This window comes from Homo sapiens, chromosome 11, assembly GCF_000001405.40.
Source record: "Homo sapiens chromosome 11, GRCh38.p14 Primary Assembly".
Taxonomy (NCBI): domain Eukaryota; kingdom Metazoa; phylum Chordata; class Mammalia; order Primates; family Hominidae; genus Homo; species Homo sapiens.
Window position 1 is genome coordinate 5,983,754 of NC_000011.10, and position 13,283 is coordinate 5,997,036.

At 40.7% G+C, this 13,283-nt stretch overlaps 2 protein-coding genes, 1 long non-coding RNA gene and 1 pseudogene across 3 annotated transcripts in view; 1 reads left to right on the plus strand and 3 right to left on the minus strand.

Annotated features, from left to right (window-relative positions):
• Nucleotides 1–13,283, plus strand: part of OR56A3 (olfactory receptor family 56 subfamily A member 3) — a 79,760-nt gene that overhangs the window by 41,503 nt on the left and 24,974 nt on the right. The gene's annotated exons all lie outside the window — the stretch shown is intronic.
• LOC124902621 (uncharacterized) lies at nt 613–1,323 on the minus strand. Its single transcript, XR_007062564.1, has 2 exons — nt 1,154–1,323; nt 613–770 (listed from the first exon to the last, which is right to left on the minus strand). It is a non-coding gene; the product is annotated as an uncharacterized LOC124902621 (long non-coding RNA).
• Nucleotides 2,139–3,232, minus strand: OR52L1 (olfactory receptor family 52 subfamily L member 1). The gene has a single exon (NM_001005173.3). It carries the CDS (start codon nt 3,175–3,177, stop codon nt 2,188–2,190), a length of 990 nt encoding a protein of 329 aa, NP_001005173.3. The 5' UTR covers nt 3,178–3,232; the 3' UTR covers nt 2,139–2,187.
• KRT18P58 (keratin 18 pseudogene 58) lies at nt 10,067–11,456 on the minus strand (annotated as a pseudogene).

The following is a 13,283-nucleotide window of genomic DNA, read 5'->3' on the forward strand; positions in this document are numbered from 1 at the left end:
CAGAGATCATTGGGAGCAATGGATGCAATGGATGGGGTTATTGTGTTTCAAAAGTACAAAACATGTTCTGATCTGTTTCACTGCCTGCCTCATGGATATGTAAGGATGGTAGTAAACACTCTCTTTTTTTGTATTTAAATACCATAGCCTAACCTGCATAAGAGCCTGTGACCTGCTTTTTAGAGAGAAACCTGGAAAACAGCCACTCACTGTTTTGCATTTTATATTCCGCTAAGGTTCCATTTATGAGATTTTGCGATGTCTTTCAGATGGCTGGATAATTGTGCTTGGAGTCGAATTTTCAAATTAAATTGCCTCATGTCCAGGTGGAATAAGGTAGTAGGAAGAGGTGCAAAGATTTAGAATTAAGAGTCTCTCCTCTATCCTCTGGTTCCACTTGTATTTTCTAATTATGACTTACCAGAGAACCCTGCATTAAAGACATTTTTAAACAAACAAAAACTGCAAACCTTTACAAGAGGGAATTCTAAAAGATATACTTCAGGCAAAAGAATACATATCCCACTTGGAAGATCTGAGATGAAAAACGTATACTTTTTAGGCTGTAGGTTGGTCTGTTACAACAAAGATTACCAAAAAAATGGTGGTTTAACCCAGATACAGGTTTATTTCTGTTTCAGGTTCAAGTCATGGTTGGTGGCCCAGACAGTGTCAGGAACACAGCTCTTCTGTATTGTTACTCTTCCATCTTCAGTTCACATTTCTGTCTTGTGATCCAAGAAAGCTGCCTGAGATGAAGCTTAGACTCTCTAGGGTTAAGAGAGTTTGTTACAATAGATGTAATACATCATACCCTGATTTTCTCTAGGACAATTTACCAGAGTTTAAGCCCTAGACTGGGAATGAAGCTGATTAGAATGTGCAATTCCTCCTGCAATAAAAACAGCTCATACCAGTCCTCCCTAATTCATCTACTTGCAACGGCCAAGTTAAAGGCCTGATACTAAGCCTCTCAGACAGAGTACTAGTTATTATGAGTAAAATTTACTAAGAAAAGAAAAACTAGAAAAAACAACTATTAACTCTACCCCTCCTACCAATATGAAATCCCAAAATAAATCTTATCTCCCGAGCATCTTACATCAAAGTAGCAATGACTTGACTTCTTCCATGACTAAACAAAATGTGTTACCTTCTAGGAACAAAAATAATTAGGCCAGATCTCAGGGCAACATCAACAAACAGGTTGCAATATATCAATTGTAGCAGTCATCTTTTAAGTTTTCACCCAGTTCCTATTAACAGAAATAGAAGATCTAATTGACACCACTCCACATGCCCTATTTCCAAAAGAGAAACCCATTTTTAAGTGTCCATAACTGCTACTATACTTATTGCTTTATTTATTATAGCTATGTTTACCAACACCGGGATCTAGCACATTTTGTAGTTATTAGATGCTAATAATTATATGGTTACTTTTGGGTTTTTTAATGAATATTTATAAAACAAACATATACGCAGTACTTGGTCTTATTCCTTCTTTATCCAAAGCATGAATATAAATAAGTTGAAAATACAAAGAGATATCTTTTAAAATAAATTTCCTAGACACATATAGATTTCTTCCTTGAAAATAGAAATTATATTTTATTATTCCTAGAGCCTATTACCATAACTTCTCCACTTATGTTTGTTTTAAATAAATAAGTAATACCCATATTGCAATAAATGCTGTTTTCTTACACTGCGACCTTCTCAGCTGCTTTGAAGAGACCCTATTGGTAAACAGGAGCCAATGATCTGGGGATCCCAGCACTAACTTAGAGGTTTTGAAGAAACTCTAAACCTAAAACCAACCAAAGGGTGGGACTTTACAATTCCAGACAGTGTTGCATGGCCTACCATTGGGCAAAGGCGAGAAAGATGACACATTCAGAGCTATCATCTATTTCTCCTATCCCCAAGTCCTACTGACACAAGGAGTAGAGAAATGTTGAAATCAAGAGCAAAAGAAAAAATGGCAAAAATATTCACAAATCCAGATATCCAGGTACATCCCAATAAGCCAAGTATCTGTGGGTGTTCTTTAGCATGGCACTAGTAAGACTAGAAGGAATACTCACTGCAAAATGGTCTGTATTCATGTAATCTACACCAGTCACAGGCTCCTGGCTGTGGTCCGCAGAAGAAGCCTCCGAAGGAAACAATGAGAATATGTTCAGATCAATCCTTTTGTGTAAACACTCTGAGCACTCGCTGGCGGATCTGCTGAGTCTTCACTCCATAGACAAGAGGATTGAGCGCAGGTGGCATGAGGAGATACCGTGTGGCCAGAAGAACATGGACATGATGGGGTACATGATGACCAAAGCGGTGAGTGAGGAAGGAGAAAATTCCAGGGACATAGAAGACCAGGATGACACAAATATGAGAGCCACATGTGCTAAACGCCTTAAGTCGGGCCTCACTCCCTGGTACCTTCAGCACTGCCTGGAGGATGTGGGCATAGGAAACACCAATGGCCAGAACATCCAGCCCAATCACAAGCAAGGCCATAGTCAGCCCATAAGCTCGATTGACTGTGGTTTCTGAGCAGGCAAGTTTCACAACAGCCATATGTTCACAATAGGCATGGCCTATGATGGTGGCTTGGCAGAAGATAAGTGTTCCCAACAAAATGGGGAAGGGGATAAGGAGTAGTAATCCCCTCACCAGCACCACCATTCCGATGCGCCCTATGACCCCTGGATGCAGGATTGTGGAATGGTGCAAGGGGTGACAAATGGCTACATAGCGATCCAGAGCCATGGCCACAAGTACCCCTGACTCCATGGAGGAGAATGCATGGATGAAGAACATCTGGATCAGGCAGACGATGTACCCAATCTCGTGGGCATGAACCAGGAGCACTGCAAGGGCTTTGGGTGCAGTGGAGGAGGCCAGAACCAGGTCGATGGCAGCTAGCATGGACAGGAAGAGGTACATAGATTGGTGCAAGGATGGGTCCATCCAGATGATGAAGAGAATGGTAACATTGCCCACTAAAGCAAGGAGGTAAAGGATGCCCAGGGGCAGTGCAATCCAGTGCTGGCTTTCCTCTAAACCTGGAATCCCTACCAGGAGAAAAGAAGGCTGGGATAGCCTCCAGCTTGAATTGCTAAGGAGCATTATCAATGGCTTGGAGAGGAAAGAGAAAAAAGAAACCAAAGTCATGATTTCTGCATTCCTGCTACATTATCACATTGTCCAAATGGGGCAACCATCATCCTGAGAAGAATAAAGTGACTTCAACTGCAAACGAAGGGAATAAAGTTAGCTACAGGGAAGAAAATCTCCTTTGGTGGAGATAATTCTTTTACAAGTGAGACATCCACATGTCTGAATTAATACAAGCTTAGTTTTGTTTAGAGATAAGAGTAAACATAAGCTGCTTTTGGAGAGATGCTTAAACTCTACTATTCAGTTGCTTATATTTTGGAACTGTCAACTTCAAAGAGTTATTTTTATTAGCCTCTTGGTATTACTGACCACTGTGAATCAATCTGTTGTTTTTGAAATTAGTCTTCCTCAGTTTCCATGACATGGCACTCCAGAGTTGTTCCCCCTGTAGCCTTGGTCCCACCATTTTCTCTATCTCATTATGTCATTGATTCCAGGGATCCATCCTCTCCTGTATTCCCTATTCTGTGCATTATCTCTTAATTGACTTCATTTATTCCCATGGTTTTAACTGTTTATATACTTTTATTTCTTCCAAATTTATGTCTGTTTACCCAAATATCCTTCTGAAATATAAATCCATTTTTCCATTTGCTTTATGAATATCTATACACCACATCCTCAACATATTCAACATTGGATTAATTCACCTATTTTTCCCAAATTTGTTCTACTTATGTTTTGGCAATAATTTTTAATTACATCCCTAGCTACCTACACAACCCAATCTAAAAACTTGGAACCTGTCTTTACTCATAATCCTCATCCCCTTTTATTCATTCACCAATTCATGTTGACTTTATGTTAACCCCTCTTATATCCACTCCTTCTTCTCAACCCCCAATATCACTACCTTAGTTTACACCCAACTTCTCTCACCTGGACTATTTCATAACATCTTTCTGCCTTTGCCATAAACACCTTCCCAATTCACTCTCAACCCTGAAGTCATGGGTTTTTTTTCTAAAATGCAGATCTCATCATATCACTCCTAAGATTAAAATCCTTTGGTGAATTTATTGCATGGAATAAAATCATACTTTGAGACTGGCATAAAAGATTATCAAAAGTTATCTTTTTTGCATTACTTTTGTCTTACAGTTGATATATTTCTACATATGTTTTACTAACCATCCCTGCATTCTTGGAGTTACATGTACACACCAAGCTTACCTATGCCTTTTGTGTAGTCTGTCTCCAAATTCCTTTATCTGAATTGGTCCTTCAAAATTCAAAGTCCACTGTCACCCCTCAAAAGGACTCATTGCCTATGTCAGATGAATATTGATTATGTTCAGAGCACTTTATAATCTTCCTTTATTCATCCATAACTTTCTGACTTATCTCTAGAAATTCTATCAGTGTCTTAATGGTTTGTTTTTTTAAAGAAACATATCTTATTATACTTTATAATTATAACATAGCATGGTGAACATTTCACAATGTAGTGAGATAAATAAAAGCAATGGAGGAAGACAGACTTAGTTTAAATTTTGTCCATTTCATATTCTAGGAATAAAACCTTGGCAGGATACTAAAACTCTCTCAGTCTTGATTTCCTTATTTTATAACTAACATCAATCTTACAGGTTTATTGTAAACATTAATTAAGTAATATATGTAAAGTCTTGATATCTAGATTAGTCTACAAATTATAGTTATAATTATTTTAATATTAGCAATAGAAGATGACTGAGAATTAGACCACAGGCTTCTTTCTTTTCTTCTTTGTCTCCATGACTCTGCTTCTCTTTTTCAAACTTTTGATATGTTTACCTCTCATCATGATATTATAACAAACAATTCAGTGTCTTTGACAACCGCATGTTAACATGAAGTATCAACTTTGTCCATGGGATTCACCCTTGAAATTTACTAAAAGAAAAAACTTGAAACTGGATATGTGTATGTAGGTATGTTTGTCTTAAAGGACAGGCGTAGTCTGAAATAACTGTATTTTTCTCTGTTGGAGTGGTGGTGCACATGTGCGTGTAAAGATTAAAAAGTCAAGAATGACTTAGTTCTTGTGGATAATGCATCCATAGATTACTCAGAGCTCTTTTTGTACAAATTAATGATGACAATCATATTGCCCTAAAACTCTGAATATGATAGCTATAAAGTCTGAAATGCCACGTGGGCATATATCTCCCAAGTTTCTCTGTTTTTCTTCTAGAATCAACTTGAAATAACAATGACATTTTTATTGAGACATCCAGGGGAATCTCATAATCTTACAAAAATTCACCTCTCAGTGCTTAACATTCCACATAGAGAGAAAGTCCATTGTCTTTTTTGCCTACCTCCTTCTGTTGCACGCTTCAGCCCATTTCTCATTTTTTAGCTAAGGAGTCAGAGAACAGCTGTGCATTTGTGGAAGGCACTCAAGACTTGAATAGTAGCAGTGTGAGCAGAGCAGTGAGGCTAAAACCAAACTAGCCCTGGGGCTGCTGAAATAAGTAAATAAATAAGTAGAGAAGTAAATAAAGTAAATAAAGTAAGAAGTAAGTAAATAAAGCAGAGAAGTAAATTAAGTAAACAAATAAGCGGAAAAGCAGAGACACATGTAACTGAGTATAACCGGCTTCTACTTTGTGTTGCTTGGCTCGTAAGCCTAGGGTAAAAGTCTGCAAGTGCTTAGTAAATGTTAATTTTTTAACTTATTTTAATTTAATTTCTGACTCAGAGTAGGGGAGGGTGGGAGGTGGATAAGGCATAAAAAAATCCCATATTGGGCACAATGTACACTATTCAGATAATAGGTACACTAAAAAGCCCAGACTTCATCACTATACAATTCATCCATGTAACCAAAACCACTTATACTCTTAAAGCTCTTGAATTTTTTAAATAAATTGCAATTAATTGTTATTAAAGTAAACAGGAGGTCCCGCTATGATTCTTAGAGGAAAAGCAGAAAGGACTTTATTCCCAGGAACCTAAAGGCAAAGCTGTATTTAGTTATTCAACTACAAAGCAGAGGACAATTACCAAAGAGTAGATGTTGTTCAATTGGTACTTATTCATCTAATTCAACCCAAGCAACCTTTCTTTTGTGAAGTTGTGCTCAAATTCTGTAAGGTAGTATGACATGTCTCCTTTTCTTTCCTATTGTAATGCCTTTACCACTTTGTCCCTGCATTAAGACCTCACACTCTAAGCCAGGCATCATGTCAGTCTTTAAAGAGCAGGGACTCTGCATTACTTATTTCAGCAGCCCCAGAGCAAGCTCCAGGAGCATCCGGAATCTAGTGAGTAATCAGTAATGTTGGCTGAATAAGTAAACACTCATATTATTAGATTAAAAAATAAATAAGTGCACTAGTGTCTTAAAAGACTGAGAATCACAGGAAGGTGATAAGGCAGAGGCTAAATTTAAGCATAGGAATCATGTAGCAAACAGTGGCGTGTCTTTTGAGGGTGTCACTGATTGAGCCTCGATATTCCTCACCTTAAGTGATGCTCTGGGTGCTTCATGGCAGAAAGAGATCTGCTGAATCTCTGCCATAAGAGAAGATGGTGAAATCCTGGATGTGTTCAGAAATAAGAGGGTTTCTTTGGTCCCTAGTAATCACTCTGCACTGCTTCTAGCAGGAAGAGAGGCTCCATCTATGGGATATAATCTATCCCTCTCTCCTCAATCTCCTTCTTAACAGTGGCCTGATCTCTATGATAATAGGGTAAAAAAGAAGAGGCAAGAACTTACAGAAACAGTAGGGGAGGGAGGGCACAGAAAGAGTGGGTCCATGACAATGACCTAATAAAAGACGAAGATACAAAAATCAAACATTAAGAGGCAGAGCTCCACTCACAACATGGATAATAAAGTAAGCCTGGCACAGGGCACTGTCCTTCTGGTCTCTGGGCTGTCTTTGATGATGTGCCCTTTAAAGACTCAGGTCAGCCTGGAGGGAGACTGCAACACAGAGAGAACTAGGAAAGGGAGAAAATTCTCAGACTCTGGAAGGTCTGGGAATTTTCATGAAGAGTTTTCTGGAAAATTCAAGAAGGTTCCACTACAGCCCTCCCTGCTTAGCCCCAGGAACTCCCTAAGTCTCCAGTTCAATCTCCATGATGAAATTCTGCCCTAGCTTGTGGGGAACAATGATGAAGAGGATTTTCTATTCAGAATGGCTGCACAGCAGTCTCTGAATATCAAAGAGGACATCAAATGCATCCCTCAAGGTCTATGCAGCTAAAATTTTCCAAAGATATGAAACATGAGTACTAGCTCTGGCAAGACTTGAGTAAAGGTAGCAAATCAGCTGTATCTACATACGCAATACATATGGTGAGGATGCCACCTAGGACCATGCCAAATGGCCCTGTGAATGCCTCAGGCTGACCATGAAGGGTTAAAGACATTGGTAGGTGTCCACAGGCTCACAGGTTAGCTCTCAGCCCTCCCCTAATCATTTTCCATCTATATTCTTTTCTCTCCCTTTCCCCCACTGTCATAGAGTCCAGGCCACTGTTAACAAGGAGATTAAAGAGAGAGGGACAGGTCACATTTCATAGAAGAGCCTCCATGTCCACTAGCATCTAAATGGTAGAAGCCAGGAGGAGAAAGTTTGTTTGAGGAGTCAGGCCAGGAGAGAACAACTATTCTAACTCAGAGAAATAAGCTTAAGACTACTAAGAAGTGTCAGACCAGAGGTATTGGGAGAGCCACACTACACAAGCTGAGAAATAACCCCTGTCACAAGGGCTCTGAGAAGGGCAGAATTCAGCTGGCCATAGTCTTCCCCCAACTGTAAACCCAGAAACTGACCTCATTTTCCACTGCTGAATTCCTGTGCACCAACTTGTCACTGTTTCTGTCATCTTCATCTGAAAGGAAAGTTTATCCTTGATACTTTCCCAGGGCAGTGGTGGTGACTGTGAGCACCACTGGGCAAGCAGGATATTATTACCAATTGGCAGGTCCCAGAGGACTCATAGACAACCTGCACAAAGCCTAAGTTAGCCCCCAGATTGGCTGGAAAGGCACAGAGCTAAGGATACAGCCCACAGGGGTAGGTGATTGGACAGAGAGGCCAAGCAGGGAGTGGCTCCTGCACCTAACCACGTGGACCGTGTCTGTCCAATGTTGGTCATTACCTGTAAGCCTGTATGTCCTGACAGTGTGCTAGGAAACCTCATGCAGTGAGCTGGGAAATTTCACATTGCTCTGTGAGCTCAGACTTCTCATTCTCACGGAACAATCTTGGACCCCAGTAAATTATTTAGTGGATGCTGTTGTTCAATGTGCTCATTCTTTCAGATGCTAGGAGTGTCGCCTGCTGGAAGTTCATAACTAAGTCACTCCCCTTTGGCCAAAGAGAGAGCCCTCACCATAGTTTACTTTTCCTTCTCCAACGCAGTTCACACCCAATGACTGCTGATATAAGAATACAAAATCTTGGCTCCCTTTCTTCAATCTTAAACAACACTGAAGAGTCATCCTAGCTTGAGAGGTCCCACTGGGTTAGCTGAGTCATCTGAGAAAACTAGATCATAGTTTAATTTCTTCTTCTGCTTCATTTTGCTCCTCTCACTCCCTGACAATCATTGTTCTCCTGTATGTTTCTCAATAAACTTCCGGCATGCAAATCTCTGCTTCAGAGTGTGTTTCTGAAAAAAGACAAATGCTGCCTGCCTCAGGTGAGTTGAGCATTTTGCCTCTCCTCTGTAGGATTGTGACAAACCCAAGGGCCTCAACCCCCTTGCCATGGTGCATGTAGGACAAATAGGGCTTCTCCAACAGTCCATCCCAGCAAGTTCCCAATGAGATGGGCTGAGGCCTTCTCTATCTTATTTTTCCATCACCAAGCAGATCTTTTCCTTGGTCCCATCTGTTACCCAGTAACAAGCTTCCCACTGAAATAACAGAGCTTCTCCACTAGGTGGAGCGAAGCTTCCCACTCCACCTAGTAGCCACAATCTCCTTGGGAATAAATAAGCAGATGGTAGATTGGTAGATTAGGTATCTACCAATTCCAGGTAGTCTATTAGATGTTCATAAATATCTATATGATAAAAAGGTTTTCACTAGTCATGGGATGACATATATTAAGTACATAGGACCTTCCCAGTCTGGGAAGTTCGGGAAAGCCCTCCCTATTCAAGTTAGTGCCCATAAGAATTGGTTAAAAGTGAAGGGAGGTGTGGGGATAGGATGAGGATACAAACCTGTGAAGCAGGAGGAAAGGGACCTTGGTATTTTCAAAGACCTAAAAGGATTGTTAAAATTTGCGATTTTAGTACTCAGGAACTGAGCCTAGAGTTTAAGCAGGAACTGGAGCATGCTGGGTCTTTTAGGCCATGTCAAAAGGCCGTGGAGCACCATGAAGAATTTTAAGCAGAGGATTGAGACATGATCAAAATCTCATTAGCAAAATATCCTATGAGAATGGATGAGAAGAAGTCAAGCATAGATGGTGGGAGGCCTGTTAAAAAGCAAATACAGCCATCTCTAGAAAGATGATACTCTTTCTTTAACACTCTGAGGAAGTCCACCCTCACCCATTTTTTTCATCAACAATGGCAGTTTTCCTAATGAGTGTTGGACCCTCCTAGACTCAGTTTTCCTCTCTTTTCTGAGAATGTAAAAACCTGTTTCTCAAAGGTGAGAATTAAATGTAAATATAAGAATGTATATAGGTTGGAAGATACAAATTGGCCCTTCCATTTTGCCTAATATAACTTTCCCTATACTCTATAGCAGCCCTATAATGACTATAAGAGAAATATTAATATAATGCAAACCACATGTCATTTTAAATTTTTAGTAGCCATCTTTAAAAAGTAAAAGAAAACATGTAAAAATGAATTTAATATGTTATTTTACTCAGCATATCTAAAGTATTATCACTTTAACATGTAACCAACATTTTTTTTAACTTCTGAACTTTTTATTGGCCTCCTGCTCCCTAAAGGGTACTCTGCCTCTGCTGGCTTAATGTCTCAGAACTTTGGTGTCATTGGTCTCAGACACCACTTTGCTGTCCACTCTGTGGCGGGTGGTAGTCTTTTGAATGGTTCGCATGGAGTTGGGGGCTGTCCAAGGCAACAACCAAGATTGAAATCTTTGCTGTCTTCCAGCAGGCTGCAGTAGGTGGTGATCTCAGCCTCCAGCTTGACCTTGATGTTCAGCAGGGCTTCCTACTCGTGGGCCTGGTGCTGCCTGTCTGCTTAGGTCTCTGCCAGCTCCGACTCCAGGTGCAGCAGGATCCCATTGAGCTGCTCCATCTGCAGGGCATAGCAGGCCTCCACCTCCCTCAGGCTGTTCTCTAAGCTGGCCTTCAGATTTCTCATCCAGTCCAGGTCTATCTCCAAAGACTGGACTGTACATCTCAGCTCCATGAGTGTCATCTCAGCAGCTCCGACCTTGGCGGACTGCATGTGACCACTGTGGTGCTCTCCTCAATCTGCTGAGACCAGTACTTGTCCAGCTTCTCTCTGTTCTTCCCAGCCAGCTCGTCGTATTGTTCCTGATGTCTGCCATGATCTTGGCATGGTCCTGAGATTTGGGGGCATCTGTCTCCATGGTCAACCCAGAGCTGGCAATCTGAGCTTGTAGGCCTTTTACTTCCTTTTCATGGTTCTTCATGAAGAGCAGCTCCTCCTTGAGAGCCTCGATCTCTGTCTCCAGCTGCAGCCGAGTGACATTGGTGTCATCAATGACCTTGTGGAGCCCATGGATTTCGCTCTTCACAGACTGGCACATGGCCAGTTCTGTCTCATACTTGATTCTAAAGTCATCAGCAGCAAGACGGGCATTGTCGATTTGCAGAATGATGCGGGCATTGTCCACAGTATTTGCGAAGATCTGAGCCCTCTGGTCCTCAAAGGTCTTGAAGTAATGTCCCCAGTCTACCTGGGGTCCCTTCCTCTCCAGGTGCTCCCGGATTTTGCTCTCCAGCTTCTAGTTCTCAGTCTCCAGGCTCCTCACTCTGTCCGGGTAGGAGGCCAGGCAGTCATTCAGGCTTTGCATGGTCTCCTTCTCATTCTGGATGCCTCCCATTCCTGCCAGACCCCCGGCCATCCCTGCAGCCAGGCGCCCGGACCCCAAGCCACCTGGAAGCTGGTGGACCAGAACATGGAGATCCGGGAACCTGAGGCCCCGGCGCCTGCATAGACGCTGGCCGCACTGCTGACTGGCCGGGTGCCATAGCTGGGCGGCTGGACGCAGCCCAGGGACCGGTAGTTGGTGGAGAAGGTGGAGTGAGTGGTGAAACTCCTGCTGTGCAGGTAGGAGAGTGAGAGAACAGGACTCAGACTTAGCTGACGACCACTTTAACATGTAACCAATATTTTAAAGTGTGGAAGAGCTATTTTGTATTATTCATTCTTTTTGCACTAAATCTTCAAAATCAGATGTGCACTTTACACTTATAGCGTGTTGCAATTTGGACTGGCCACATCTCAAGGGTTCATATGGCTCTTAACTACTGTGTTGAACAGCAGAGGTCTAGAGTTATGGGAAACTAAACACACCTCCTTTTATTTTCCTTAGGATATAAATTTAATCTTGGTGATGGTCACATGGCACCATGACTCTTGAGTTGGACAGGATACAGGAACTTGTTTAGTTTGGTTCGATTTCTGGGTCAGCTCAAAATTACAGTTTTCATTGTCTTTTTCAATACTACCCATCAAGGTTCCTTTAAAGATTTCTTTTAGTATGTTTTTAATTGACAGATTAAATTTCATGTGTTTATTGTGTACAACATGTTTTAAAGTATATATACAATGTGGAATAGTTAAATCTAGCTAATTAGCATATACACTACCTCACATAACTATCATTTTTGTGGTGAGAACACCACCAAACGTTCACTATCTTTTCATTTTTCAAGAATACAATATGTCATCATTAACTATAGTCACCACGCTGTGCAATAGATCTCTTGAACAGCCTCCTCTAATCTAACTGTAATTATTTATCTTTTGACCAACATCTCTCAATCCCTCCCTCCCACCTACCAGACTCTGGTAACCACCATTCTACTCTCAAAGACTTTATAGAAAACTTTTTCATATTCTTCATTTGAGTGAGATCATGTGGTATTTGTCTTTTTGTCTTAATATTTCACTTAATATAGTGTCCTCCAGGCTCATCCATACTATAGCACATGACAGGATTTTGTTTCCCTATTAAATCAGTATGTCAAAGGGATGTCTATACTCCCATGTTTATTGCGGCACTATTTGCAATAGCAACATATGGAGTCAACCTAATGTTATCAACAGATGAATGGGGAAAGAAAATTTGGTACATGTAATATATACACATATATGTATGTGTGTATATATATGTGTGTGTATATATTACATGTACCAAATATTTTGTGGCTGAATAGTATAGCAACAAAAATCCTTCAGAGATTTCTTAGTAGACTGGTCTTTCAGATTTCATAATGGGAAGACCTCATTAAGAACAGAGATAATCAACACATCCAAAGTTCCCAGCTTAGCTCCTCACAGAATCTCTACCAGGCATTAGGACTTTCCAGTAACCTGTAGCCCAGCCTCTTTGTCTTAGGGTAGATATTACTCTTCCTCTACTCCTACCTTAAACCAGTGAAGTTTTTTTTTTTTTTTAGAACCAATGTGGCTATTCAGTAAAGAACTCCAAAATTTCTAGATTCCTCCAAATGTGGTAATAAGAGCACCGTTCTTTCACATAAGATGTATTTGGAAACTACAACTAGATGTTGTTAACAAAGGATGACGAAAGGTAGAATTGGAATTAGAAACAACTACAGCTTCAGATATACATCCAAATAGTCAGACTATACAAACTTATTTGTGGCCAGATTCCAAAGAAATAAGTCTATTTCTCTAGAGACATTGGCTTTGTTTCCAGTTGGTTATTATATTCTTTTTGCTGGGGCAATGAACAAAAGATAAAAATTAACCCCATGCCCAGTCTGAAATTTTCTGAGGAGTATAGTCGCTTGAGCAATGGAAAAGGTTTTCTGTCCCAGACAGAGAAGCAGGAAAGAGCACTGAGAGCAAGGCAGGATGAGATGGGAAGCCCAGGAGGGAGAAATCAAGGTAGCTGAGATTAATGGCCCTATCTTTTCTGATGCTTCCATGGCAATCTTCTCTAGGAG

Excerpts from the sequence above, each read along its gene's own strand:
- OR52L1 (NM_001005173.3), bottom strand. The coding sequence starts at position 3,177 with ATGACTTTGGTTTCTTTTTTCTCTTTCCTCTCCAAGCCATTGATAATG.